The sequence below is a fragment of the Homo sapiens genome, chromosome 15, assembly GCF_000001405.40.
Source record: "Homo sapiens chromosome 15, GRCh38.p14 Primary Assembly".
NCBI classification, from domain to species: domain Eukaryota; kingdom Metazoa; phylum Chordata; class Mammalia; order Primates; family Hominidae; genus Homo; species Homo sapiens.
Window position 1 is genome coordinate 90,175,748 of NC_000015.10, and position 27,301 is coordinate 90,203,048.

General features: G+C 50.3%; 1 protein-coding gene across 9 annotated transcripts in view, besides 11 other annotated features; it reads left to right on the forward strand.

Annotated features, from left to right (window-relative positions):
• Nucleotides 2,316-3,221: an enhancer, noted in NCBI's record as "H3K27ac-H3K4me1 hESC enhancer chr15:90721295-90722200 (GRCh37/hg19 assembly coordinates)". NCBI's record gives its function as "activates a minimal SCP1, AML or CMV promoter by ChIP-STARR-seq in primed H9 embryonic stem cells {active_cell/tissue: H9 hESC(primed)}" and the evidence as "EXISTENCE:reporter gene assay evidence [ECO:0000049][PMID:30033119]".
• Nucleotides 8,483-9,216: an enhancer, noted in NCBI's record as "H3K27ac hESC enhancer chr15:90727462-90728195 (GRCh37/hg19 assembly coordinates)". NCBI's record gives its function as "activates a minimal SCP1, AML or CMV promoter by ChIP-STARR-seq in primed H9 embryonic stem cells {active_cell/tissue: H9 hESC(primed)}" and the evidence as "EXISTENCE:reporter gene assay evidence [ECO:0000049][PMID:30033119]".
• Nucleotides 8,483-9,486: a biological region, named in NCBI's record as "H3K27ac hESC enhancer GRCh37_chr15:90727462-90728195".
• Nucleotides 8,827-8,906: an enhancer, noted in NCBI's record as "active region_10064". NCBI's record gives its function as "activates an Ori minimal core promoter by ATAC-STARR-seq in GM12878 lymphoblastoid cells {active_cell/tissue: GM12878}" and the evidence as "EXISTENCE:reporter gene assay evidence [ECO:0000049][PMID:35858748]".
• Nucleotides 9,087-9,486: a silencer, noted in NCBI's record as "silent region_6814". NCBI's record gives its function as "represses an Ori minimal core promoter by ATAC-STARR-seq in GM12878 lymphoblastoid cells {active_cell/tissue: GM12878}" and the evidence as "EXISTENCE:reporter gene assay evidence [ECO:0000049][PMID:35858748]".
• The window catches only part of SEMA4B (semaphorin 4B), a 44,742-nt gene continuing 26,613 nt past the window's right edge, over nucleotides 9,173-27,301 (forward strand). For 4 of the 9 annotated variants that reach the window (NR_172049.1, NM_001324034.3, NM_001324032.3 and 1 more), the window contains exon 1: nucleotides 25,583-25,988. Coding sequence is in view for 6 of the 9 variants with exons in the window: in NM_001324034.3 (NP_001310963.1) it covers nucleotides 25,832-25,988 (157 nt within the window). In the remaining 3 variants the exon portion in view is untranslated. Of the gene's footprint in view, nucleotides 9,335-16,173; nucleotides 16,280-25,582; nucleotides 25,989-27,301 lie in introns of those variants that run through there. The other 5 variants (NM_001393916.1, NM_020210.5, NM_001324030.3 and 2 more) reach the window with 3 other exon arrangements.
• Nucleotides 9,497-9,586: a silencer, noted in NCBI's record as "silent region_6815". NCBI's record gives its function as "represses an Ori minimal core promoter by ATAC-STARR-seq in GM12878 lymphoblastoid cells {active_cell/tissue: GM12878}" and the evidence as "EXISTENCE:reporter gene assay evidence [ECO:0000049][PMID:35858748]".
• Nucleotides 15,595-15,684: an enhancer, noted in NCBI's record as "active region_10065". NCBI's record gives its function as "activates an Ori minimal core promoter by ATAC-STARR-seq in GM12878 lymphoblastoid cells {active_cell/tissue: GM12878}" and the evidence as "EXISTENCE:reporter gene assay evidence [ECO:0000049][PMID:35858748]".
• Nucleotides 15,885-16,184: an enhancer, noted in NCBI's record as "active region_10066". NCBI's record gives its function as "activates an Ori minimal core promoter by ATAC-STARR-seq in GM12878 lymphoblastoid cells {active_cell/tissue: GM12878}" and the evidence as "EXISTENCE:reporter gene assay evidence [ECO:0000049][PMID:35858748]".
• Nucleotides 16,485-16,584: an enhancer, noted in NCBI's record as "active region_10067". NCBI's record gives its function as "activates an Ori minimal core promoter by ATAC-STARR-seq in GM12878 lymphoblastoid cells {active_cell/tissue: GM12878}" and the evidence as "EXISTENCE:reporter gene assay evidence [ECO:0000049][PMID:35858748]".
• Nucleotides 25,131-26,102: an enhancer, noted in NCBI's record as "H3K27ac-H3K4me1 hESC enhancer chr15:90744110-90745081 (GRCh37/hg19 assembly coordinates)". NCBI's record gives its function as "activates a minimal SCP1, AML or CMV promoter by ChIP-STARR-seq in naive and primed H9 embryonic stem cells {active_cell/tissue: H9 hESC(naive and primed)}" and the evidence as "EXISTENCE:reporter gene assay evidence [ECO:0000049][PMID:30033119]".
• Nucleotides 25,275-26,034: a silencer, noted in NCBI's record as "silent region_6816". NCBI's record gives its function as "represses an Ori minimal core promoter by ATAC-STARR-seq in GM12878 lymphoblastoid cells {active_cell/tissue: GM12878}" and the evidence as "EXISTENCE:reporter gene assay evidence [ECO:0000049][PMID:35858748]".

Consider the following 27,301-nt stretch of genomic DNA (forward strand, 5'->3'; position numbering starts at 1 on the left):
CGATCTTGGCTCACTGCAACCTCCGCCTCCCGGGTTCAAGCAATTCTCCTGCCTCAGTCTCCCGAGTAGCTAGGACTACAGGCACACGCTGCCACGCCCAGCTAATTTTTTGTATTTTAGTAGAGACGGGGTTTCACCTTGTTGCCCAGGCTGGTCTTGAACTCCTGAGCTCAGGCAATCTGCCTGCCTCGGCCTCCCAAAGTGCTAGGATTACAGACGTGAGCCACCGCACCCGGCCGGAATGCCCATTTTATGGAGGAGTAAACTGGGAGGACGAGCAGAAATATCAAAAAAGCCTTAAGTGCTGTGAAGGAGGCTTTAACGTAGGAAAGTCGGGGTTGCTTTCCCAAGGAGCCTGTTGAGCAGAGACTTAAAACTTTACTGCTTGAAGATAATGCACAGCATCGCCCTCATATTGAACTGTGTTAAAATGAAGAATCTTCAGCCCCCCCCCAGATCTACAGTTTCTAAATGTGCTATTTATTTTTATTTTTTATTTTTATTTTTTTTTTGAGATGGAATCTCACTCTTGTTGCCCAGGCTGGAGTGCAGTGGCGCTATCTCAGCTCATTGCAACCTCTGCCTCCCGGGTTCAAGAGATTCTCCTACCTCAGTTTCCCGAGCAGCTGGGATTACAGGCACTCGCCACCACACCCGGCTAATTTTTGTATTTTTAGTAGAGACGGGGTTTCACTGTGTTGGCCAGGCTGGTCTCAAACTCCAGACCTCAGGTGATCCACCCACCTTGGCCTCCCATCGGCCTCCCAAAGTACTGAGATTACAGGCATTTGCCACTGCGCCAGGCCTAAATGTGCTTTTTAACAAGATCTCCCAGGTGCACAGCAGCATACATATTAGGGTTTGAGAAACAAGGCTAAGGGTGTAACTAAGTTACCAGTCTGGGTGTAGCTTGGAACCAGAGGAGAGCATTCTAGCTAAGAGCCCTGGGATGGGAAGGAGCTTGGAGCAGCATGTGAAAGTCAAGGAATATTTGTGGGTATTTGCAATTTTTCTTTTTTCCGTAAGTGGGAGAGACTTGATCATGTTGAAAAGTCTTTAGGCCATGTGCGGGGGCTCAGCCTGTAATCCCAGCACTTTGGGAGGCCGAGGCAGGGGGATCACTTGAGGTCAGGAGTTCGAGGCCAGCCTGGCCAACATGGTGAAACCCCATCTCTACTAAAAATACAAAAATTAGCCAGGCTTGGTGGCACACACCTGTAGTCCCAGTTACTTGGGAGGCAGGAGAATCACTTGAATCTGGGAGGCGGAGGTTGCAGTGAGCTGAGATCGCGCCACTGCACTCCTGCCTGGGTGACAGAGCGAGACTCCATCTCAGAAAAAAAAAAAAAAGAAAAGTCTTTAGAAGTAAACCAGTTGAGAGGGAGGGAGTGGGAGACAAAGTACAGTGGAAGGGTAGATAGGAGGAGGGGCAGTTTCTGTAGGACTGGCTTCCCAACCCCCAACCTCTGCTGCTGGCTCGAATCACCTACAGAATTTGAAAATTTACATGTGTTTGGCTGGGCGAAGTGGCTGGTGCCCATAATTCCAGCACTTTAGGAGGCAGAGGCAGGCGGATCACTTGAGGTCAGAACTTCGAGACCAGCCTAGCTAACGTGGTGAAACCCCATCTCTATTAAAAATACAAAAATTAGCTGGGCATGTTGGCGGGTGCCTGTAATCTCAGCTATTCTGGAGGCTGAGGCATGAGAATCACTTGAACCCGGGAGGCAGAAGTTGCGGTGAGCCGAGATTGCACCCTTGCATTCCAGCCTGGGCAACAGTGCAAGAATCAATCTCAAAAAAACAAATAAATAAATACTGATGTTGGTTGGGCGCGGTGGCTCATGCCTGTAATTCCAGCACTTTGCGGGGCCAAGGCAGACAGATCACCTGAGGTCAGGAGATCGAGGCCAGCCTGGCCAATGTGGTGAAACCCCGTCTCTACTAAAAATACAAAAATTAGCTGGGCCTGGTGGCACACGCCTGTAGTCCCAGCTACTCAGGAGGCTGAGGCAGGAGAATCGCTTGAACCCAACAGGTAGAGGTTGCGGTGAGCCAAGATTGTGCCATTGCACTCCAGCCTTGGTGACGGAGTGACACTCTGTCAAAAAAAAAAAAACACAACTGAAGCCTGGATTCACCCCCAGAGAATCTGATTGAAATGATATGCAGAATTGGCCAGCTCCTCCAAGCGATTCCAATGCGCAGCCAGGGTGTAGAACAATTACTTTGGTGAGAAGAAGGGTAGGAGGGGCAGGGCGGTGGGGGGCTTGCAGGGAGTAGCTTGGAAGTGGATGAAGCCTGTTAGGTACCAAGGAGGGCCCATTTACCTAGGTTCCCAATTCAGAAAGAGCTTCAGATTTAGACTTTGTATGTTATTGCAAAATGTATTTGCACCTATAGCCATTGTACTTGCGTGTGTTAAAGAGCACTGTTTTGTTGTGTCTAAACACGTAAAATAACTGCATTTCTTGTAAACAGCAATCTATCCATCCATCTATACCAAGACCACCACCCTTTTCATGAAAGTAGACTGGGTCTCTCTCAATGCAGATGGAAAAAAATAAGGAAGACCCCATCTGATGACTTTAATTTTGTTTGTTTGTTTGTTTGAGACAGGGTCTCACTCTGTTGCCCAGACTGGAGTGCAGTGGCACGATCATAGCTCACTGCAGCCTCAACCTCTCAGGCTCGGGTGATCCTTCCACCTCAGCCTCCCAGATAGCTGGGACTACAGATGTGTGCCACCACACTTGACTAGTTTTTAAAATTTTTTGTCGAGATGGGGCAGTGTCGCTATGTTGCCCAGGCAGGTCTTGAACTCCTGGGCTCAAGTGATCTGCCCACCTTGGCCTCCCAAAGTGATGGAATTACACGTGTGAGCCACCACGCCCATCATGACTTCTATTTTGGTTTTTGGTTGTTGTGGTTTTTGCAATCTCAGGCCAGAGATCTTCACTTCTGTTTTGTATGTGAAGTAAAGGACAGAAGGGAAAATGTTTAAGAGAGTTGGTCCAGAGAGCAATGTAGAGAGGTGGCCAGAGAAAGGACAGCCCAGGTGGTGCTGAGGGTCTGAAGCTGATAACCTAGATTTGCAATGGAACCCTCCACCCTAAGTGACTCTCTCCAGCCACTGTTGAGGAAGAGGTACTGAGAAAGTGGGTCACAGAGCTCATCTAGAGCTTTCTTTCTTTCTTTCTTTCTTTTTTTTTGAGATGGAGTCTCACTCTGTCGCCCAGACTGGAGACTGGAGTGCAGAGTGCAGTGGTGCAATCTCAGCTCACTGCAACCTCCACCTCCCGGGTTCAAGCCATTCTCCTGCCTCAGCCTCCCTAGTAGCTGGGACTACAGGTGCGTGCTGCCCTGCCTGGCTAACATCTGGAGCTTTCCCACGTGGTGAAAATGACCACAAGGGATGTTAGAGAATTGAGGCAATAGGTTGTTGGAATGGTGGATCTAAGTGGGTAAGAAGGGAATGGGGAGGGAGAAAGGCTAGTGGATCAGGAGAAGGTGGGACATCAGTGACCTGGAGAGGCTGCTGAGGTCCAAGGAAGGTCTGAGCGAGTGTGTTAAACCAGGAAGTAGGAAGGAAAAGAGAAGGGAGTTAGAGACTGGGATGCCTGAATTTGGGATCTTGCTGATGGAGCTGTGACTGCTGGTAAAATTGGAGTGGCGGTTGAAGTGGGGTCAGGGAAGTCACCAGAGATGTAAGAAAGTAGATGCAGGACTTGTCACCAAGACAGTGACTGGAGCTTTAGGTGAAGAACTGGGAGCCACATGCGAAGTCTCTAGTGACAAGGAAGTGGCCAGAGGTGGGTGGCCAGCCTCAGGGCTTTTTTTTTTTTTCTTCCAGCAGTTTGTTATAGCCTCAGGGTTTTTATCAGAGGAGGGAAGACAATCATTCAAGAGGGGCATGGGGATGCCTCAGGTCCTGGGGAAGGAGAGGAAGATAGGGGAGAGATGCAGGATGGAGCAGAAGCAAGGAAAGACAGGGGTTCTGGAGGATGCCAGTAATGTAGAGAAAAAAGTCAATGAGTCAATGAGTCAATGAGGCAGGCTCACACCTGTAATCCCAGCACTTTGGGAGGCCGAGGTGGGTGGATCACCTGAGGTTGAGAGTTTGAGACCAGCCATGGCCAACATGGTAAAACCTTGTCTCTACTATAAATACAAAATTAGCTGGGCGCAGTGGCACATGCCTGGAATCCCAGCTACTTGGGAGGCTGAGGCAGGAGAATCGCTTGAACCCGGGAGGTGGTAGTTGCAGTGAACCGAGATTGCACTATTGCACTCCAGTCTGGGCAACGAGAGCAAAACTCCCTCTCAAAAAAAAAAAAAAAAATTACAATAAAAAAATCACAATGAGATATTACTATGCACCTATAAGAGCAGCTAAAATAAAAAACAGTGATAACAGGAAATGCTGGCAAGAGTGTGGAGAAAATGGATCTCTCTCCACATTCCTGGTGGAAATGTAAATGGTACAGCCATTCTGCAAAAAATCATGGCAATTTATAAGACTAGATATGCACTTACCATAAGACACAGCAATGGCATTCTTTGGACATATATCTCAGAGAAATGAAAACTTACATTCATATAAAAACCTGTACACAAATGTTTAGAGTTGCTTCATTTGTAATAGCCCAAAACTGGAAACAACCCAAATAGCCTTCAATTCAATGGGTGAATAAACTTGAGCTAGATATGGTGGCTTATGCCTGTAATCCCAGTACTTTGAGAGACTGAGGTGGGAGGATTGCTTGAGCCCAGGAGTTGAAGACCAGCCTAGGCAACATAGGGAGACCCCCATCTGTACAAAAAAATAAAAAGTTAAACTCTAGTACATGCATTCCATGGGATACTACTCAGTAATAAAAAGGAAAGAACTATTGATACACACAGTGACTTGGTTGGATATATCTCAGAGGCATTATGGTTATCGAAAAAAGCCAATCTCTGCACTCCAGGCTGGATGACAGAGAGAGACGTTGTCTTAAAAAAAATAATAAAAAAATAAAAAGAAAAAAGCCAATCTCAAAAGGTTATGCACTATATTTACATAACATTCTTGAAATAACAAAACTATACAGATGGAGAAGAGATTAATGGTTGTGAGAGGACAGTGACAGGAGTGTGACTATAAAGAGGTACCGTGAAGGAGTACCCCACAGGGATGGAACAGTTCTTGATGGTGGTGGTCGGTACACAAATGCATTCATGGGTTCAAGTTACATAAAACTAAACGCACATATATATGTGCAGGCACAAATAAGTGCATGCAAAAACTGAACGATAAGGTCTGCAGTCTATTTACAGCATTGACCAATGTCAATTTCTTGATTTTGCTATTCTACTACAATTATATAAGTTCATCACTGGGGAAAGCTGGTGAAGTGTTCATGGGACACTATGTACTATTTTGCAACTTCCTCTGAATCCATAATTATTTCAAAATTAAAAAGTTAACAGGCCAGGCCCGGCGGCTCACACCTGTAATCCCAGCACTTTGGGAAGCTGAGGCGGGCAGATCACGAGGTGAGGAGATCGAGACCATCCTGGCCAACATGGTGAAACGCTGTCTCTACTAAAAATACAAAAAAAATTAGCCAGACATGGTGGCGGGTCCCTGTAGTCCCAGCTACTTGGGAGGCTGAGGCAGGAGAATCGCTTGAACCCAGGAGGCAGAGGTTGCAGTGAGCCGAGATGGTGCCCCTGCACTCCAGCCTGGCTGCAGAGCAAGACTCCGTCTCAAAAAAAAAAAAAAAAAAGTTAACAAAAACATGTATCTAATTCTAAAATTACACATTTTAAAGAACATGTAAGAACAAAAACATGTATATTAAACACCTTAATGGTTTTCTATCAGGAGAGGGAGCGGGAGGAGGAATGAAATAAACAGCTACATTAATCAAGGGTCCCTGTGCAGACAAATGATAATAATGTGCTGTGAACCGAAAAGGTATTAAGTCAAACTTCTCTGCACCTGAGGTCCTGCAGAGAGGAAAGGGTATGTGTGTTGGGGGTCGGGGGAGGAGATGAGAGAAGGGGGGATCAATAACATTAAAGACAGGGCTTTATTTCAAATAAAGATTCAAAAATCTTTATTTAAAGATTTTTCCCTTTGTTCAATAGAAGACTGGAGGAGGTTGGAGGAGGAGAAGGAGCAGGAAAAGGGAGGAGGGAGAAGGTGCCGGAGTGGGCAGTGGAAAGTACTCTTCTGGTCTGGGGACCACTAGCTGAATCCCTGAGGAGCTCTGAGGCCCCACGGGGGAGTCCTAGTTTCCAGGTGCTTCTCTGAGCAGTGGTGCTCCCAAGGTGCTCTGTGTGCTGGAAAATTGGAAGTGCTGATTTTAATTTTTATTAAATCTGTTTTAATTATGTTAATATTTTTTCTAGAGGGTGTTATGGAGAAAGAAGTGCTGATTTTTAACATCGCCTCTTGCAAGGCACAGCTTGCAGGTGCTGGGTGACCTAAGGCAAGACCCCTAATTTAGCTGTGCTTTCCATATCCTTAGCAAGGAGTGTCCCCACCCCAGCACTGTTTGAAAGGCAGAGCTCATAAGAGGATTGAGAGGATTTTAAAAGCCGTTTGCACAAGTTCATGGCCTTAGTTATAAACGCAGTACATATTGCTACTAATTGGATGACTATAAGGAGGAAGAAAGAATATAAGGGGCAAAAGGAAACAATTCAGGAAGTGCATAAAGGTTTATTGACAAGGATGCTCATCTCAACATTACTTAAGATAATAAACAATTAGAAACAACTTAAATATCCACTTGGTTAAAAATGTACGGTACATTCGTGTGATAGAATACATTAAAATGAAAGTATGCAAGAATTCTTACATTTATTTATTTATTTATTTATTTATTTATTTATTTATTTATTTTGAGACGGACTCTCACTCTGTTGCCCACGCTGGAGTGCAGTGGTGTGATCTCAGCTCACTGCAACCTCTGCTTCCCGGGTTCAAGCGATTCTCCTGCTTCAGCCTCCTGAGTAGCTGGGATTACAGGTGCCCACCACCATGCCCTGCTAATTTTTGTATTTTAAGTAGAGACGGGGCTTCACCCCATCTCTACTGAATACCCCATGTATTTTCAGTAGAGACGGGGTTGGTCAGGTTGATCTTGAACTCCTGACCTTGTGATCCGCCCACCTCAGCCTCCTAAAGAGTTGGGATTACAGGCGTGAGCCACTGCACCCGGCAAGAATTTTTAATGTTATAGAAAAATGCGATATAGGCCGGGTGCTGTGGCTCACACCTGTAATCCCAGCACTTTGGGAGGCAAGGCAGGCAGATCACTTGAGGTCAGAAGTTCGAGACCAGCCTGGCCAACGTGGTGAAACCCCGTCTCTATTAAAAATACAAAAATTATCTGGGTGTGGTGGTGGGTGCCTGTAATCCCACCTACTTGGGAGACTGAGGCAGGAGAATCGCTTGAATCTGGGAGGTGGAGGTTACAGTGAGCCGAAATCGCACCGCTGCACTCCAGCCCGTGCAACAAGAGAGAGACTCCATCTCAAAAACAAGAAAAGAAAAACATAATAGAATGCTGTCCTAAGTAAAAGTTAGAAAACAGTATGTATTGAATAATCTTTTTTCTAAAAGATGTAAGTGTATAATTATGCATAGGAAACACACAGGAAGATATTCACCAAAATATTAACACCAGTATACCTAAGATTTGTGCAGTTTACTACATGCAAATTAATCTTAATTTTTAAAAAGTTTTAAAAAATATTAACGCTGACGGCCGGGTGTGGTGGCTCACGCCTGTAATCCCAGCACTTTGGGGGGCCAAGGCGGGTGGGTCACGAGGTCAGGAGTTCGAGACCAGCCTGTCCAATATTGTGAAACCCTGTCTCTACTAAAAATACAAAAATTAGTCAGGTGCAGTGGCGGACACCTGTAATCCCAGCTACTTGGGAGGCTGAGGCAGGAGAATTGCTTGAACCCGGGAGGCAGAGGTTGCAGTGAGCTGAGATCGAGCCACTGCACTCCAGCCTGGGTGACAGAGCAAGACTCCGTCTCGGAAAAAAAAAAATTAACAAGGTTGATGCCAATGTGTAGGTAAAATGAAATTATGAGTGATATTATTTTTAATTGTGTTTTTCTGTTGTCTAACTTTCTTGTACTAAATATGTGTTTACTTTTATAGAGAGGTAACAAAAGTAACCACTTTTTTCTTTTTCTGGAGGAGCTAGGCAGCAATTCCCGGAGAGGAGAGGCTGCAGAAGGACAATGTACACTTAGGCCAGGCCTGCCCGGCCCTGGAACGGGCTGCCACTTGGCCTCTGGTTTCTGCAGTCCCTTGACCCGTCAGTTCAGGCCAGCTCAGCCACTTACAAGTCCAGAACTGGTTGTTTCAGTAACCGCCCTGAAAGCTGCCGTTGCTTTCCTGGAAGATAGCACCGGGACGCAAGAGTGGAGAGGGAGGAGCCAAGGTCACCTCATAAATGCGGGATATTTATAACCCTATCTTTCACCCCTCCTGCAGATCTCCGTTTCGTTTTACTCTCTGAGCACGCCCGCCCACTGCATGTTAAGGGAGCAGTGAGCAGCATTTATCTCGGGTGGAGACGTGGGTGGTTTCACAGAGTGTGGATCTGCCCTCCTCTCTCTCACTTGCCTCCTTCTGTAAACAATATTACCATTCTTGAGAGCTGACCATGTGCCAGGTGTGTGCCTCCACCATTGCATTTCCCATCACAGCCTTGTGAGATCTCTAGTGTTCTGATGCCCACTTTACAGATGAAAAACTCCAGGCTCAGAGAGGTTAAGGAACTCGTCCTACGTAACACAGCCAGTTAGGTAAGAGTGGATCTAGGATTTCAACCCGGGCCAGCCCAGACTCCAGCTAGTGAGGCCGCCCCCTGTGGCCCAGGTCCAGCGAGGCCGAGTCTCCCAAGGTGAAGGACCGCACAGTCCCTTGGGCTCCACGGCTAACTTGGGCCGACCAGCGGTCGTGGGGAGGCGGACCCGACAGGCCAGGGTGGTCGTGGCATCGAGTCCATCGTTGGTGCAAATGGCCGGGGGCCGGTGGCGGTGGTGGGGCGGGGGGCACGGCCCGCATCAGGCAAATCCCGGAGGCGCCCTCTGGACAATTCCCGTAAACACGGGCAGAGCGGGGCGGGGCTGGGCGGGGCTTGGCGGGGGCCCAGCATTTCCGGGGACGCCGCGCCGGACTGAGGCTGTGCGCCCGAGACTCCGGGTCCCCAGGGGCTGCGCCGGGCCGGCCTGGCAAGGGGGACGAGTCAGTGGACACTCCAGGAAGAGCGGCCCCGCGGGGGGCGATGACCGTGCGCTGACCCTGACTCACTCCAGGTAGGCGCGGGGGGTGCCTGGCGAGGTGGGAGCCGCTGCCCGGGAGGTGGCGGACCAGGCGAAAACCGCCGCGCAGCCGCTGCCCCCACCCTTGCACCCGCACCTCCCGCCCGGCCCCTCTCCCCAGAAGGCGCCACCTGCACGCTCTGATGGGCACTGGGGCCCGCCGCCCGGGGAGCCTGTTGCCATGGCAGCGCAGGAGGCTGGGCCCGCGTTCCCATGGCCACCGGGGGCCTTTGAGCAGCGTTCACATCGCGCCAGTGCACCACCCCTACTCCTAAACCCGGGACCTGGTCCTGGGGGGAAGTCATTTGGAATTCGGAAAAGGCCTGGGCCCCTGCGGAATGGTCGTGGATATGACCTCCGAGTTAGGCCCTTTGTCATGGCTTCTTTCTTCTCACTGAGCACCAAGGTGCTAGAAGGAGAAGGCTAGAAGGAGAAGGAAGTTGAGGTTCTGGGCATGAAGCTGCAGTTGCGGCTACTCGGGAGTTATTCTGGTCTAGCAGAAAGGCGAAGGAGCCCTGGGTCATCTCGGGAAGGTCATCAAATCTCTGCCCACATTTCCTCACCTGTAATATGGGTATGTTATTTGAGTTAAACACAGGATTCCTCTAAAGGTTGAAATGCCTTAAAATTTTGTGCGGGAAGCATACAAACTTTTAAAAAGTTTTTTTCCCCATAATGCCTTAGAACTGGAAAAGATGTAGAAATCACCTTGGCCCATCCCCCCTCATTTTCATAAGGAAAACTGAAGCCAGAGAGATTAAATCGCTTCCCAAGATGACAGTGAGTTAGTGGGAAGGTCAGGATTTGAACTCAGGCCATGGCCGTTTCTTTTGGTGATTTTTTTTTTTTTTTTTTTTTTTTTTTGAGACGGAGTCTTGCTCTATCCTCCAGGCTACAGTGCAGTAGCGCGATCTTGGCTCACCGCAACCTCCACCTCCCTGGCTCAAGTGACTCTTCTGCCTCAGCCTCCTGAGTAGCTGGGACTACAGGCGTGTGCCACCATGCCAAGCTAATTTTTGTATTTTTAGTAGAGACAGGGTTTCACCATGTTGGCTAGGCTGGTCTCCAACTCCTGAGCTCAAGTGATCCGCCCACTTTGGCCTCCCAATGTGCCTGGTTTATAGGCTTGAGCCACCACGCCTGGCCTTTTTGGAGATTATACCTTCTGAAGCTCAGGAAAATCTAGGATATGTCTCCTTGCACCTGGGGCTCAAACTGTTGGTGACAGGTAATCTCCATATGGGGACATTGGCCAGGCATGGTGGCTCACGCCTGTAATCCCAGCACTTTGGGAGGTCGAGGCAGGCGGATCACCTGAGCTCAGGAGTTTGAAACCAGCCTGGTCAATGTGGTGAAACCTCGTCTCTAGTAAAAACACAAAATTAGCTGGGCATGGTGGCGCATGCCTGTAATCGCAGCGACTTGGGAGGCTGAGGCAGGAGAATCGCTTGAATCTGGGAGGCGGAGGTTCCCTGAGCCAGCCGAGATTGTGATTGCATTCCAGCCTGGACAACAAGAGTGAAACTCCATCTCAAAAAGCAAACAAAAAATAAAATAATAAAAATAAAGGCCAGGCACGGTGGCTCACGCCTGTAATCCCAGCACTTTGGGAGGCCGAGATGGGCGGAGAGGTCAGGAGATCAAGACCATCCTGGCTAACACAGTGAAACCCCGTCTCTACTAAAAATACAAAAAATTAGCCAGACGTGGTGGTGGGCGCCTGTAGTCCCAGCTACTCGCGAGGCTGAGACAGAAGAATGGTGTGAACCCGCGAGGCGGAGCTTGCAGTGAGCCGAGATTGCACCACTGCACTCCAGCCTGGGCGACAGAGCAAGACTCCGTCTCAAAAAATAATAATAATAAAAAACAAAAAAATAAAAATAAAATAAATAAAGATTGGGGACATTGGCAACAGTTGAACTAAAGATGGGAAACGGAGACTTGTGCCTTGGGGAGAGCTGAGTCTCCCCGCTGCATGGGTCTTGTGCCTTGAGGCTCTTGCTTTAATGTAGTATCTGACTACATTGGACAGGATGGTCCAAAGTAAGTCCCTGGGAGCCAAGCATTCAGCCACTCTCCAAAATACCATCTCTTCTGAAGCCAGCAAAGCTGGTGAGCCTGGAGCTAAGCAAGAAAACTGTTTAGCTTCCCTAAAGCAGGGAAATGGGACTCTAGTCCTGCCTCTATCCGTGTGGTGCTGTTTCCTTTGAAAGGGATAACAGAAAAGTGGGGGAAAAGATCCAGGAAGGAAAACGTGAATGAATCCTTTGGAAATGATTTGAGACAGCTAGAGCAGAAGACATTTGCTGGGTACCTGCTGTTTCCATGTTCTGTCCTGGGGCTGGAGATGAAAAAGCTGAGTTAGGCAGGCCTTGTCCCTGCATTCAAGGAGCTTGTAGAAGAGAAGGGAAGAGAGGGATGTGATGTGTAAGTGAGTATTTCACTGCAGCATAATGAGGTCCTAATAAGAATCTGAGCAGAGTGCAGAGGGAACTCGCAGGAGCAACTCTGGAAATTAGTTGAAAACAGCAGGATTCTAGCCTGGGAGCACTTCTAGAACTCTGCCAAGTTGGCCGTGGCCACTACCTTTGTTGGAAACAAAGCATAAGGGAGTGAAAGTGTCTAAAGAAAGGTGGGGGCTGGGTGCAGTGACCCACGCCTGTAATCCCAGCATTTTGGGAGGCCGAGGCAGGCAGATCACGAGGTCAGGAGATTGAGACCAGCCTGACCAATATGGTGAAATCTTGTCTCTACTAAAAATACAAAAATTAGCCGGGCATGGTGGTGCATGCCTGTAATCCCAGCTACTCAGGAGGCTGAGGCAAGAGAATCGCTTGAACCCAGGAGGCGGAGGTTGCAGTGAGCTGAGATCATGCCATTGCACTCCAGCCTGGGTGACAGAATGAGACTCCATCTCAAAAAAAAAAAAAAAGAAAGAAAAGAAACGTGGGTCAGGCATGGTGGCTCATGCCTGTAATCCCAGCACTTTGGGAGGCCAAGGTGGGTGGATCGCTTGAGTCCAGGAGTTCGAGACCAGCCTGGGCAACATGGTGAAACTCAGTCTCTACAAAAAATACAAAAATTAGCCGAGCATGGTGGCCCATGCCTGTAGTGTCAGCTATCCAGGGCGCTGAGGTAGAAGGATCACCTGAGCCAAGGGAGGTTGAGGCTTCAGTGAGCCATCAATCATCCTGCCACTGCATTCCAGCTTGGGTGGCACAGTGAGACACTGTCTCAAAAATAAAATAAAATAAAAGTAGCCAGGCGAGGTGGCTTATGCCTGTAATCCTAGCATTTTGGGAGGCCGAGGTGGGCGGATCACCTGAGGTCAGGGGTTCAAGACCAGGCTGGCCAACATGGTGAAACCCTGTCTCTACTAAAAATACAAAAATTAGCCAGGCATGGTGGCGCATGCCTGTAATCCCAGCTACCCGGGAGGCTGAAGCAGGAGAGTTGCTGGAACCTGGGAGGCGGAGGCTGCAGTGAGCCGAGATCGCACCACTGCACTCCAGCCTGGACGACAGAACAAGACTCCGTCTCAAAATAAATAAATAAATAAAAATAAATGTAGATCAGGATACGTATTGTCTTTTTTTGTTTGTTTTTTGAGACAGAGTCTCGCTCACTCTGGGTGCAGTGGCGCTATCTCGGCTCACTGCAAGCTCCGCCCCCCGGATTCATGCCATTCTTCTGCCTCAGCCTCCCGAGTAGCTGGGACTACAGGCACCCACCACCACGCCCGGCTAATTTTTTTGTATTTTTAGTAGAGACGGGGTTTCACCATGTTAGCCAGGATGGTCTACGATCTCCTGACCTCGTGATCCGCCCGCCTCAGCCTCCCAAAGTGCTGGGATTATAGGCATGAGCCACCGCGCCCAGCCAGGATGAATATTCTCTGAAAGAACAGTTTAAAGGATCCTGATAAACTAAGCTCTGTGAAGGCAGCAACCACGTCAGTTTCCTTAAACTTGAGCAATACTTAGAAGGCAGCAAGTGCACAAGAAATATGTGTTGCATGAATGAAAGAAGGAAGTGGGGGGGAGGAAGGAAAAGGAGGAAGTGAGCGAGGGCAGGAAGAAAAGGGAAGGAAGGGAGAGGAGAGAAGTGAAGGAAGGAAGAAAAGGTAGGAAGGAGGGAGGGAAGGAAAGAAGGAAGGATAAACATTGGCTTATATTATCAGAAGAGGTGGATGGCTATAACTTGAGACAAAACGTGGTTGATTTCTGACTATAGGTTGAATATCCATATGGGTTCTGGAGTCAGCAGATCTGAGTTGTGGTCCTAGTCCTGACTTGTCACTTGTGTGACCTTAGTAAGTCCTGGAACCTCTCTATGCCCCAATTTCTCACTTCTGAAATGGCAATAATAACTGATATCTCACCCTGTAGTGAGAATTAAGTAAATGATTGAATGTAAAAATTTGGCACAATCCTCACTTATAGTAGGTGCTCAATAAATATTAATTAGCTATATAAATGTCAACTTTGATGTAGCTGGAAAGAATTTGCCAAATATTTCATGTCAAGGTTATATAACTATTCCAAACTGAGGTATAATTTCTTTTTTTCTGATAAAGGCTAATTTTGAAAGTTCCTTGTGTCTGCAGACTAACGCACCTTAGAGAAATGGTTCTTTACTTTTTTTGGCGGGGAGTGGGGGCTGGTAGCAAGGAGCTTTTGAAATTAAATGAAAGCTCTGATTCCCTCTCTCCTGAAATGGCATCTCATTCTTGGCGTTCACAGCTCCCTGAAGCCCACCCGTGTGGTGAAGGGGGTCCCTGCTCTGCTGCACTGCTCACAGGCTATAGTGAAAGAACTCAGGCAGCATTCATAGAAGAGGTGGCTGGGAGGAGCAAGCAGGGTCAGCCGTCTTTCAAGGGGTTTGTGGAAACCAAAAGATGAGACGGCTAGAGATAAGCACATGTGGCCCCGTGGGTGCGTCCTCTTAGAGCCCACTCTCCTGCTAGGGCCAAGCTGGGGCTCACTCAGAACCTTGTGGGCTCCAGAGTCCCTGGTGTGGTGCCCACCAGCCGGACCCTCATTCACAGTGCATAAATGGTGCTGCAGGGTGGCTGCTGTGTGAGATTCCTATCCAGGCATGGATCTTTGGTGCCACCCTCACATCAGCTTTCTGTGAGTGTTGTCTCCTAATACCACTGCTTTAGGGTGGCAAGTGGGCACACTGCCACAGGTGGTGCATTCCTCAGAACCTCCACCCTGGCAAAGCAGGGTGAGAGTACAGCCTACAGAGCCTTAGGAGATCCGTGGCAACCCGTCTGTGCATCCCCGCTACCCACCTAGGCATACCTGTTCCTGCCCACTCTCTGGGATCAGCATCAGAACCAAGAGCAAGGCTCTGTCTGGGAGTAAGAGTGGCAGCCACCAGGTGACCTGAGGTGATGGGGAAACTCCAGGGTCAGAGAGCTCCTCCTCCCTGGGAAGGAAGAGGCAGAGGGGAGAGCCTTGGGCCTTTGGGAAGGAAGGTTGGTTTCCTGAGGTGGAGGGAGGGCCCTGGCCTGTTCCTTTTTCCCCTCACAGGGGTCTGGTGCTCAGACTGGGATTTTAGAGGGAATAACTCGATAGCAAATGGGGAGGTAGATTCCTCACTTCATGGGATCTTTGGAACCAGGGTGTGTGTCTGTGTGTGTCTGTGTGTGTCTTGCTCTGTGTCTGTGTCAGTGTCTTGCTCTGTGTGCATGTGTGTGTATGTGTGTGTGTCAGTGTCTTGCTCTGTCACCCAAGCTGGAGGTACCATCGTGACTCATTGCAGCCTCTACCTCTCAGGTTCAAGTGATCCTTGCACCTCAACCTTCCAAGTAGCTGGGACCACAGGAGCACACCACCACACCTGGCTAATTTTTAATTTATTTTTTGTAGAGACCGGGTCTTCCTATGTTGCCCATCTGGTCTCCCCTGGACAGGCGAGTGGGTGCAAAAGCAGAGGCAGACAGCGCCTCCTGAACTCATATTGGGGGAGCAGAGGAGTGACAGTGGCAACTTCATGTTCTACCCTGTCAGGGCAGGGACAGGTTGAGCCCTGCTGATTGCCCCACAGCCCTGTGGGGCGGAGGGATCCCCTCCCAGGGAGTGGCCAGCTCAGGCCCCAACAGGCCCCAGTGGGGGTGGTGCTGGGTGTCAGGCTCCTCACCACAGCGGACGCACCTGGGACTTGGGCTGGGCGGGCCGGTTCTTTCTCCCCATGAGAGTTGCAGCCTCAGCACCAGCTTTGCAGGAGGTGGCTGAACTTGAGGGAGTACCCAGAAGGGGGTCCTCAGAGATGGGCATCTAAGATACTTCAGAGTTGTTGACGCCATGGGGCAACTTTCATGGGGAGGTGAACCAATAACATAGCAGGCATGGCCTTGCTCACTGAGCATTCACTACATGCCAGTGTTGCCCGTGGCTTTATATGTACTCTCTCCAGCCACCCATGAAGTGCTGTTCATAGCACTCCGTCCTAGATGAAGAAGCTGAGGTTCAGAGTGATTGTGTGGCTTGCTAAAAGTCCACAAAATATGGAAGGTAGTGAATTCTTCTGACAGAAGAACCTGTGTGCTCAACCACTGGATTCTACCACTTCCAGGAGCAAGAAAAACAAGAGGCCGGTAGCGGGGAAAATGGTTTGGGGAACGGAGATGAAGCCATTTATTTACATCTGTTGCCAGACCCTGGGTAAAAGCTGCCAGTGAGTTTTGAAGGCAGTGTAAGTGCTGACCCGGGGTGGATGCCCTCTGCTGCAGAAGGCGCTGCCCCAAGGAAGCTCCCAGCCCTGAGGACTTGGCAGCCATTGGCTGATTTGAAAGAATACACAGGGTGTGCCAGCTGGTGTCGCTTCCTCTTCAACATGTACTGATGCTGCAGCTGAGCTGCTGCCCAGCCCCTGGGGAGAAGACACCAGCAGCATGCCCAGCCAGGGCAGGGTGGAGAGCTGCAGCTGCAGGTTGGCATAAGAGGAGAGCTCAGGGCTACAAGGGGATGGTGGTGGGGGGCCAAGGCCTGGAGAGCTGGGCTGCAGCCAGTGTATGTCTGCGAGGCCTTGCTGGGCAGCCTGCCAGTCAGCACCCGAGAATGGGGAGGAGCTTGAGTGCTACCCCAGGAGGGGGCGGGTGGGACCTTTGGGTTCAAGCTCCACTGGGCTTGGCAGGAGGCCCCTCCCCCACAGCCAGCAAACAAAGCAACAACTCCCAGAGTAGAACTGTGGGAGCTCCAGAGCCAGGTTCCCCTGGGTGGGAATTAGAGCAGGCAGACCTGGCCAGGAGCCGCCTGGCAGGGACCATCCATGCCCAAGGACATGGCCTGCATGCAGCTGGGCAGAGGCTGTACCCATGGATGATTAATGGGTATTGATCACTTGGGAGGCCAGATGTAGCCTGGACACTGCTGGCACTTGCCCTGCATCTGTTCCCTTTGTACTGGGCAGGGTAGAGAAGCAGCAGGGATGTGTGTTCATTTGCTTTTTACTTTTAGCCATGCTTCCCTTTATTTTCTTTCCCTTGTAGCTTTTTTTTTTTTTTTTTTTTTGAGATGGAATCTTGCTCTTGTCACCCAGGCTGGAGTGCAGTGGCACGATCTTGGCTCACTGCAGCCTCCGCCTCCTGGGTTCAAGCAATTCTCCTGCCTCAGCCTCCCGAGTAGCAGGGATTACAGCCTCACGCCACCATGCCTGGCTAATTTTTGTACTTTTAGTAGAGATGGGGTTTTGCCATATTGGCCAGGCTGGTCTCAAACTCCTGACCTTGTGATCCTCCCGCCTTGGCCTCCCAAAGTGCTGGGGTTACAGGCATGAGCCACTGCGCCTGGCCTCGTTTCGGCCTCTTTATAATGGATTCCTATACACATTCTTGTGCTTCTGTCCTTGTGTATGTATGTGTGTGTGTATGAGAGAGAGAAAAATGAGGAAGGTCCATGGGGAGGAGGTGCCAGAGCGTGTGAGTGTGGATGGAGAAGAGGCCAGCTTTGATGATGACTTCATTTTGCTGGCCAAGGCACGGAGGAAGCAGTGCTTTTCTCTTCGTCTCTTATTTTGGTACTCCCTTTCCAAGCTGCCTCCTGAGCTCTTTATAAACACTGGCATTCTGGCTGAGAAAGACTCGCCAACATCCAAGAGTGGCAAAGGGGAACAGGAGACACATCGTTGGCTTGGGAACCGCTCCCGCTCGCAGGAAGTCTGCTCACAGGAGATTTTTCTCTGTCAGTGTCCTCGTGTGGTTTCTAGTCTGGGGAGAACACATCAGCACACTAACGGAAGAAAGGGGAGCCCGCAAAGACCAAAGCTGCTGTGCTGGGGGCGTGGATTCGAGGGCTCTTCTCCAGGCTGACAGCTGGGACCCTCATTTTGTCAGCCCTGTGGAGTTCCTACTAGAGTGCCATGCAAGGCAGTGGGGATTTGGAAGATGGAAGTCCTGTCACTGTCCTCAAAGGACTTGCTGCCCAGTCGACATAAGACATATTGGAAGCATTTGAGCAGGATATGATTATCCGCTTAGTGAGGCCGCATCAGCCCCTGTCTCCTCTGCTCTGAGATGAGCACAGCAGTCACACAACTCATGTGTTGCCAAGACACCAGGGCAAAGCAGCCCCACTGCCATTTTAGGATCTGCTTGATGTGGAGATTCAGGGACTCAACAAATAGTGATTGAGCATGTGGCCAACATCAGGTACTGTTCTAGGTGAGTGCAGTAGGCAGAAGGTAGAAGAAGGAAATGTAGCTAGTACCTTGACTTTGACAAGATTTCTTGCAATCTTTTTCATAATATTCTTTTTTTTTTTTTGGGTTGGTCGGGGGGACGGAGTTTCACTCTTGTGCCCAGGCTGGAGCACAGTGGCGCCATCTTGGCTCACTACAACCTCTGTCTCCCGGGTTCAAGCGATTCTCCTGCCTCAGCCTCCTGAGTAGCTGGGATTATAGGTGTGCACCACCACGCCCGGCTAATTTTCATATTTTTAGTAGAGACAGCGTTTCATCATGTTGGCCAGGCTGGTTTCGAACTCCTGACCTCAGGTGATGCGCCCACCTCAGCCTCCTAAAGTGCTCAGATTACGGGCAATGAGCCACTGCTTTCAGCCCATAATAGTCTTATGGATAATATGGAGAAATGTGGGCTGAACAGTGCAGTTAGGAGGACACATAGCTAGTTGTTCAGCCTATAAAAGATATTGATCAGGCCAGGCGTGGTGGCTCACACCTGTAATCCCAGTACTTTGGGAGGCCAAGGCAGGTGGCTCACCTGAGGTCAAAAGTTCGAGACCAGCCGTGACCAACATGGTGAAACCTCGTCTCTACTAAAAATACAAAATTAGCCGGGCGTGGTGGCGCATGTTTGTAATCCCAGCTACTCGGGAGGCTGAGGCAGGAGAATCGCTTGAACCCACGAGGCAGAGGTTGCAGTGAGCTGATATCATGCCATTGCACTCCAGCCTGGGCAACAAGAGTGAAACACCATCTCAAAAAAAAAACAAAAAACATATTGATCTGTTCTAACCTTGATGGAGGTCTCTAGTGGCGTGCCATTGGGCTCCGTTTGTGACTCTGTCTCACCCATTTATTTATTTACTTACTTATTTTCAGGCTCCCAAAGTGCTGGGATTATAGGTGTGAGCCACCGTGCCTGGCTGTCACCCATTTTTGTTTAATCACTCAAAATTTTAAATGGAAAGATTAGTACAAAAACACCCAATAACTCTTCACCTATATTGACCAGTTTTTGCCAGTCACATTCATGTTCTTTCTCTCTAGTACATGCACATACATATATATGCACATTTGTTTTTGCTGAATCATTTGAAAGTAAGTTGTAGACATCGTGACATTTCAACTGTAAAGCTTCAGCAGGTGTCTCTGAAAGACCAGGACTTAATCACATCTGAGAAATGCCATTATCATAGCTAAAAAAATGAAGAATGCCATAATATCATCTAATACACAGTCCATATTAAAATTTCCCCAATTGCTCCATGGCTTTTTTTTTTTTTCCAACATTCAATCTTCAATCAAGGTTCACACGTTGCTATTGATTTTGTTTGTTTTTTTTTAGACAGGGTCTCATTCTGTCTCTTAGGCTGGAGTGCAACAGCATGGCTCCCTGCAGCTTTGACCTCCTGGGCTTAGGTGATCCTCCCACCTCAGCCTTTCAAGTAGCTGGGACTACAGGTGCGCACCACCATGCCTGAGTAATTTTGTATTTTTTGTAGAGACCAGTTTCACCCTGTTGCCCAGGATGGTCTTGAACTTCTGGGCTCAAGTGATCCACCTGCCTTGGCCTCCCGAAGTGCTGGGATTACAGGTGTCAGCCACCTCGCCTCGCTGCATTTGATTATTATGTCTTTTTAGTCCCTTAACCTAAAACAGCCCCACCCCTGTCTGTTTTGCCTCTCACTAGATTGCCCTTTCTGAAGAGTCCAGGCTAGTTGTCTTGTAGAATACTACTCATGCTGGATGGGTCTGATTGTGTTTTCATTGTTAGATCTGGGTTACAACACACCTTTGAGAAGAATGCTGCAAACATTGATGATGTTTTGTACTTGTTGTTTTTTCTTTTTTTGAGACAGGGTCTCACTTTGTCACCCAGGCTGGAGAGCAGTGGCGTGATCTCAGCTCACTGCACCCTTGACCTCCTAGGTTCAAGCAGTCCTCCTGCCTCACCCCCCGAAGTAGCTGGGACTACAGGCATGCGCCACCATACCTGGCTAATTTTTGTAATTTTTGTAGAGACGGAGTTTTGCCGTGTTGCCCAGGTTGGTCCCGAACCCCTGAGCTCAGGCAGTCTGCCTGCCTCGGCATCCCAAAATGCTAGGATTCCAGGCGTGAGCTGCTGGGCCCAGCCTGTTTTGTACTTCTCTTTTTTTTTTTTTCGAGACGGAGTCTCGCTCTGTCACCAGGCTGGAGTGCAGTGGCGCGATCTCGGCTCACTGCGAGCTCTGCCTCCTGGGTTCACGACATTCTCCTGCCTCAGCCTCCCAAGTAGCTGGGACTACAGGCGCCCGCCACCATGCCTGGCTAATTTTTTTTTTTTTTTGTATTTTTAGTAGAGACGGGGTTTCACCGTGTTAGCCAGGATGGTCTCGATCTCCTGACCTCGTGATCCGCCCGCCTCGGCCTCCCAAAGTGCTGGGATTCCAGGCGTGAGCTGCTGGGCTTAGCCTGTTTTGTACTTCTTATTGCATCATATCAGGAGGAAAATTACGTCAAATAGTCCCATTACTATGATGCTACTTTTGTCTAATTGGTTAAGATTGAGGCCCCGAGATCTCTCCCTTAGAGATAAATGTTCCCTTTGGTAATTAGTAAGTCATCTGTGGGACAGACCTTGTTAACATATAGTTTCGTAACAATCTTCCACCCAATGGTTTCCCATCCACTGATGATTCTTACTTGAATCTAGATTTTCTAATTCTATCACCATTTCTTCTACTTTTTTTTTGAGACAGAGTCTCGCTGTCGGTCAGGCTGGAGTGCAGTGGCGTGATCTCGGATCACTGCAACCTCCGCCTCTTGAGTTCAAGAGATTCTCCTGCCTCAGCCTCCCGAGTAGCTGGGACTACAGGTGCGTGCCACCACGCCCAGCTAATTTTTTTGTATTTTTAATAGAGACGGGGTTTCACCATGTTAGCCAGGATGGTCTCGATCTCCTGACCTCGTGATCCGCCCGCCTCAGCCTCCCAAAGTGCTGGGATTACAGGCGTGAGCCACTGCACCCGGCCTCTTCTACATTATTAACCAGCATTTTTTGGTAAAGAAAAGCTTCCTTTTCACCCCTTATTTTTTCTCTCTCTCTGGGTTTCACTGTGGACTAATGGATTGTTTTTAAATTTAATGTATTAATCCATTACTTCATTATGTTTTAATGCTCAGATTGGTCATCAAGCTGGTTCCGATGTCCTTTGGACATGGCCTCATTAGTTTCTGATCATTGCTTTCTGGCCCAACAAAATGTCTCATGTTTATGTCGTACTTTCCCTTACATTCACCCAAAGAATCTTGGTTCTCTTATTAGAGAGTAGGATTAGGAAACCAAGATTGGCCAGGTACAGTGGTTCATGCCTGTAATCCCAGCACTTTGGGAGGCCGAGGTGGGCAGATCGCTTGAGTCCAGGAGTTTGAGACCAGCCTGGGCAACGTGGTGAAACCCCTTTCTCTACAAAAAAATTACAAAAATTATCCGAGTGTGGTGGTGCATGCCTGTAGTCCCAGCTACTCAGGAGGCTCAGGTGGAAGGATTGCTTGAGCCTGAGAGGTGGAGGTTGTAGTGAGCTGAGATCTTGCCACTGTACTCCAGCCTGGGTGACAGAGTGAGACCCTCTCTCAATAAAAAAGAAAAAAGTAAACGAAGATTTAGGTGCTAGATCTGCTCACCCAATTTTTGTTTTTTTGGGACGGAGTCTCGCTCTGTCCCCCAGGCTGGAGTGCAGTGGCGCGATCTCGGCTCACTGCAAGCTCCGCCTCCCGGGTTCACGCCATTCTCCTGCCTCAGCCTCCCGAGTAGCTGGGACTACAGGCGCCCGCCACCACGCCCGGCTAATTTTTTGTATTTTTAGTAGAGATGGGGTTTTACTGTGTTAGCCAGGATGGTCTCGAGCTCCTGACCTCATGATCCGCGCACCTCGGCCTCCCAAAGTGCTGGGATTACAGGCGTGAGCCACCATGCCCGGCCCTGCTCACCCAATATTTTTATCAATAGCTTGAATAAAGGCATAAGGAATGGTTATCATGTTTACAGATGACCCCATACTGGAAGGGGAAGCCAAATGTATGATAATAGAATCAGTTTTCAACATGACTTCAGTGGGATGACATCTGAGCCAGAACCACTAGATTTATTTATTTTATTATTAATTAATTAATTAATTTTTTTTTTTTTTGAGATGGAGTCTCGCTCTGTGGCCCAGGCTGGAGTGCAGTGGCGTGATCTCGGCTCACTGCAAGCTCCACCTCCCGGGTTCGCGCCATTCTCCTGCCTCAGCCTCCTGAGTAGCTGGGACTACAGGCACCCACCACTGTGCCCGGCTAATTTTTTTTTGTATTTTTATTAGAGACGGGGTTTCACCATGGTCTCGATCTCCTGACCTCGTGATCCGCCTGCCTCGGCCTCCTAAAGTGCTGGGATTACAGGCGTGAGCCACCGCGCCTGGCTGGTAAAACTCTTTATTGGACCAAAGTTGATATAAAAAAAATAGTTCTGGTTGTCAGCTGACATGAGTCAGCAGTATTCTGTGACTCAAGTTGCATTCATTCATTCATTCATCCAGTACTTACTGAAGTCCTGCTTACCATGTGCCAAGCACTATTCTAGAGGCTTGAGATACATTACTTAACAAACCAAATAAGCAAAAATCTCTGCCCTCTCAGTCAGCATTCTGGGGGAGATGGGATGTCAGACAATAAAGAAAAACCATAACTAATATATCGTATGTTATTCAGTGATGAGTGCTCTGAAAAAATATCTCAAGGTATTTTTAAGGAGATAAGGGGCATATTAGGAGGAAGTTCAGATTCTTCAAGGTGATAAATGAGCAAAAGGAAGCAAGGGACTCAGTCCTGTGGTTATCTAGGGGGAGAGTGTGCCAGGTGAGGGAGCAGCCAGGTCAAAGGCCCTGCTGGTTCGGGCTACTATATATGTACCTGGTGTGGATGAGTGAGGGGAAAAGTAGTAGAGGATGCAGTGGTACTGGTGGTGAGGATGACATGGAGGGCTTTGCAGACCACTCCAAGTAAGGTCATTGTGAATGAGATGGGGGAACCCTTGGAGGGTTTTGAGCAGAGGAAAGCCCTGATCTGGCTTGTGTTGTGTGTTGTTTTGTTTAAGATGGAGTCTTGCTCTGTAGCCCAGGCTGGAGTGCAGTAGCACAATCTCAGCTCACTGCAACCTCCGCCTCCCAGGCCCCGGTTCAAGCAATTCTCCTGCCTCAGCCTCCCGAGTAGCTGGGATTACAGGCACACACCACCATGCCCAGCTAATTTTTGTGTTCTTAGTAGAGATGGGGATTCACCATGTTGGCCAGGCTGGTCTTGAACTCCTGACCTCAAGTGATCTGCCCGCCTCGGCCCACCAAAGTGCTGGGATTACAGGCGTGAGCCACCACCCCTGTCCTGGCTTGTGTTTTAAAGACTCACTCCAGCTGCTGTGTTGAGAATAGATTGTAGGGGAACCAAGGAGGAAACGGGGAGAACAGTTAGGAGGCCCTTGCAGTAACCAGGAGAAAGAGGGTGGTGCCTGGGCCCTAGGGAGCTGGGAAGTGGTCAGATTATAGATTTTCTAATGGACTGGATGTGAGGAGTGAGATAATGAGAGGAGCTGAGGGTTTTGGCCTGAGCAATTTAAAGATGGAATTGCCATTAAATGAAATGGGGAAGGCTGTAGGTGGAGCACATTTTTGAGAAGGGGGAGAGATCAGGAGCTTAGTTTGGGACATGTTGGGCTCGAGATGGTTTTCAGACAGCCAAGTAGAAATATTGAGGCCGGGTCAGGTGTGGTGGCTCACGCCTGAAATCCCAGCACTTTGGGAGGCCAAGGCAGGTGGATCACGAGGTCAGGAGTTCAAGACCAGCCTGGCCAACATTGTGAAACCCTGTCTCTATTAAAAATACAAAAAATTAGCGGGGTGTGGTGGCATAAACCTGTAATCTCAGCTACTCGGGAGGCTGAGGCAGGAGAATCACTTGAACCCAGAAGGCAGAGGTTGCAGTGAGTGGAGATTGCACCATTGCACTCCAGCCTGGGCAAAAGAGCAAGACTCTGTCTCAAAAAAAAAAAAGTTGAGGCCTTTTGGAGTTAAGGGCTGAGCAGGGCTGGACTAGGCGGCAGATAGGGGTTTGGGTATCACTGGCTGTAGGTGGATTGAACCCATTTAGAGTAAGCATCCAAACCTGGGCAATAGTAGCACTGTGGGTGCTTGGTGCTGTCCATATCCCATGTGGAATTCTGTGTCCAGTTCTGGGAGCCCCTTTAAAAGGGATGCTGCTAGCCTGCACCATGTCCACAGAAGGTGATGGAGGTACAGAAATCATGCAGCATGAGGAAACTTAGCTGTAAGAAAGGAGACCTGGGACCATGTGGGTGCTGTGCCCACCCTCTTGACAGCATCCCTGTTGTGGGAGCAGATGTGGCAGACCCTGAAAGTCGGGAGGAGAGGAAAAGAGGTGCTCTGAGGAGGCTGATTTTGGCTGGGGGTGAAGAGGAGCTTTCCTGCAATTGCAGCAAATTTATGGAGCGATGGTCTCTACTGCCATGGAAATAACTAGCAGAGGCTTTCACTCTTTTGGACTCTTAACTACAGGAGGAACTACTACATTTTTCTGTAATCCTGTGCACACTTAGGAAAAGTTGAAGTAGCTTTCCCAAAATTACTTATCCTTTGAGATTATTGCTTAGATAGTTTCTATGTTTTGTTTGTTTCTTAATGCTGTTGGGATCCACTAAATTGATTTCAGAATCTGCTAATGGTCCAGGCTGCAGTTGGAAACCCCTGGTCTCAGCAGAGCTGAACTCCACCCGTGGAGATGTTAGGAGCCAGGAGGATTAGGGGTGGGTGCCTCTGGGCTTCCACTCCAGTCTTAGGGGTTCCCTTCCCCTGCCGGGTCACGTGCAGGTTGTGAAGGTTTTACCTCCTCAGCAGTACATTAAATCCTATTATCCCACTTAAGCTAATCTTGCCCTTCCCCCACCCGAGGGCTTCGCGTGGACAGAATATTAAGCGGACAAGCCCGCAGGGTGCCTAGACTAAGTGCTGAGCTTGTAGTGAATGCCCAGCCATGACTTGCAGTGGATTGACCTGTGCAAAAATTGGACTCTCAAGCTGCTAGCCCCAGTGTCAGCACGAGCTCGGCCGAGTTCATTTGGTCGCAGGAACAAGGGGGTCGCCAGGAGCAAGAGCGGAGGGGGCGCCTAAAGGGAGGAGACCAAGGCCTAATCACCATCCGCCCCCTAACTCCCTAGGCGCATAGCGGGGACGCAGCGTGTCCCCAAACCAACGCCACTAGCAGAGGGTCCCAGAGGAGCCGGAAGGGGCCAGGGCCTGGGCGGCGGTGGGAGGGTCTGAGCAGTGGGGGCGGGGAGCTGGGGGTCGGCTTTCGTCCGCGTCCCAGCGCTCCGGCGGCCGCCGGGGCTACTGATCCCGGGCTTGGCCCCTGCGGCAGCGCCCCGAGCTGCCGCCCCTCGCGCTGCCAGCGCCCGGGAAGGAGGAAGGGGGAAGGGGGCGGGCCGGCCGGGCTCACGGCCGACTTCCTCCTTCAGCCCCGCCCTCCGCCGCTTGCGGGTGAGCTCTGCCCAAGCCGAGGCTGCGGGGCCGGCGCCGGCGGGAGGACTGCGGTGCCCCGCGGAGGGGCTGAGTTTGCCAGGGCCCACTTGACCCTGTTTCCCACCTCCCGCCCCCCAGGTCCGGAGGCGGGGGCCCCCGGGGCGACTCGGGGGCGGACCGCGGGGCGGAGCTGCCGCCCGTGAGTCCGGCCGAGCCACCTGAGCCCGAGCCGCGGGACACCGTCGCTCCTGCTCTCCGAATGCTGCGCACCGCGATGGGCCTGAGGAGCTGGCTCGCCGCCCCATGGGGCGCGCTGCCGCCTCGGCCACCGCTGCTGCTGCTCCTGCTGCTGCTGCTCCTGCTGCAGCCGCCGCCTCCGACCTGGGCGCTCAGCCCCCGGATCAGCCTGCCTCTGGGTGAGTGCCGGGGACCCGGGGACGCGGGCCGGGGGAAGGAAGGCTGCCGGGGACGTGCCTCGTGCGGAGGTGGCCGTGACAAAGGACCAAGGAGGGGACCTGTCGGAGGCACGGGATCCATTAGGACCCCTTCTTTTTTCAAGGCGCTGCGCGGAGGGAGGGAGAGGAGAGGGGAGCTGTGGGGCCGCTGGCCCCTTTCTTCAGTTTTCTTTCTGCGTAGGGATGGGGTCTAGCCCGCTCTGTCGTCCCCCCTAGTTCCCTTAGGAGGATGCACTTTCGGCGGGGTCCGCCTGCCCATCTACTTGTCTTTGATGCTGACCAGAGCCGACCGCGGTGCCGCCCCCGAGGGCGGCTCGGGGTAGAGGGAGGCCACTGCTTGCAGTCCTATAAACACTGGGGTTCTGGTATTCCCAGCAAGTCGCAGCAGGGCCGGGAGCTGTGGTGGGCGGGCAGGCGCCCGATCCTCCCTCTCCGCCCCTCCATCCCTGGCTTGCCAGTGCAGCCCCAAGCCCCAGCATGGAGAGACCTCCAGGCCCTGGGAGCGACCAGACTGCGGATGGGGGCAGCTCTGGGCGCTGACATTCCCAAGTCCTGGGAGCGAACAGACTGCGGATGGGGGCAGCTCTGGGCGCTGACATTCCCAAGTCCTGGGCGCGACCCCTCCTCAGAGTGACCTGGGAGTAGCATCCTGGTTGGCTGGGTTCCTTTCCTGGTCCTCACATCTGCTTCTGTGGCCACCTCCTGTTTCAGCCCTCCGCCCTTCCCTCTCCTTTTCCCTTCCATCCGGTTGCTTCTCCAGCTCTTCTTGGGGCACTTGGGCTTTAGATTCAGAGGGTCCTGGATCCCAAGCCCATTTCTTCCACTGGGCAAGTAAGTGCCTTCTGCTCCCAGTGCCCCACCTTTCTCATCTGCAAAATAGGCAGTCGTAGGTGCCTTGCAAGGTGTGTTACTCGGGTATGAAGTTTATAAGTGCCCAACAGATGTATCCGCAAGCCCTTTAACTTGTTGGTTGTCATATTGTATGACTTGGAATAAAGCATGTATGAATTAGAGGTTACAGACTGAAACTGTCCCAGACTTCCATCTCCTCACAGCATCCCCACCTCTAAAAGCATCCTGTTTACAAAGGGAAATAGTAGAATCAGCACTTAAATTAAGGCAGGGCCCTAGCGGCTTCAAGTAACCCTACCTGAACCCCTGTCTGAAATACTGCAGATGACCTGGGTTCAAATGCTACCTCAGCCACTTAGTAACCATGTGACCTTGAGCAGGCTACTTAAAGTTTCTGGGTCTTGATTTCTTCATCTGTAAAA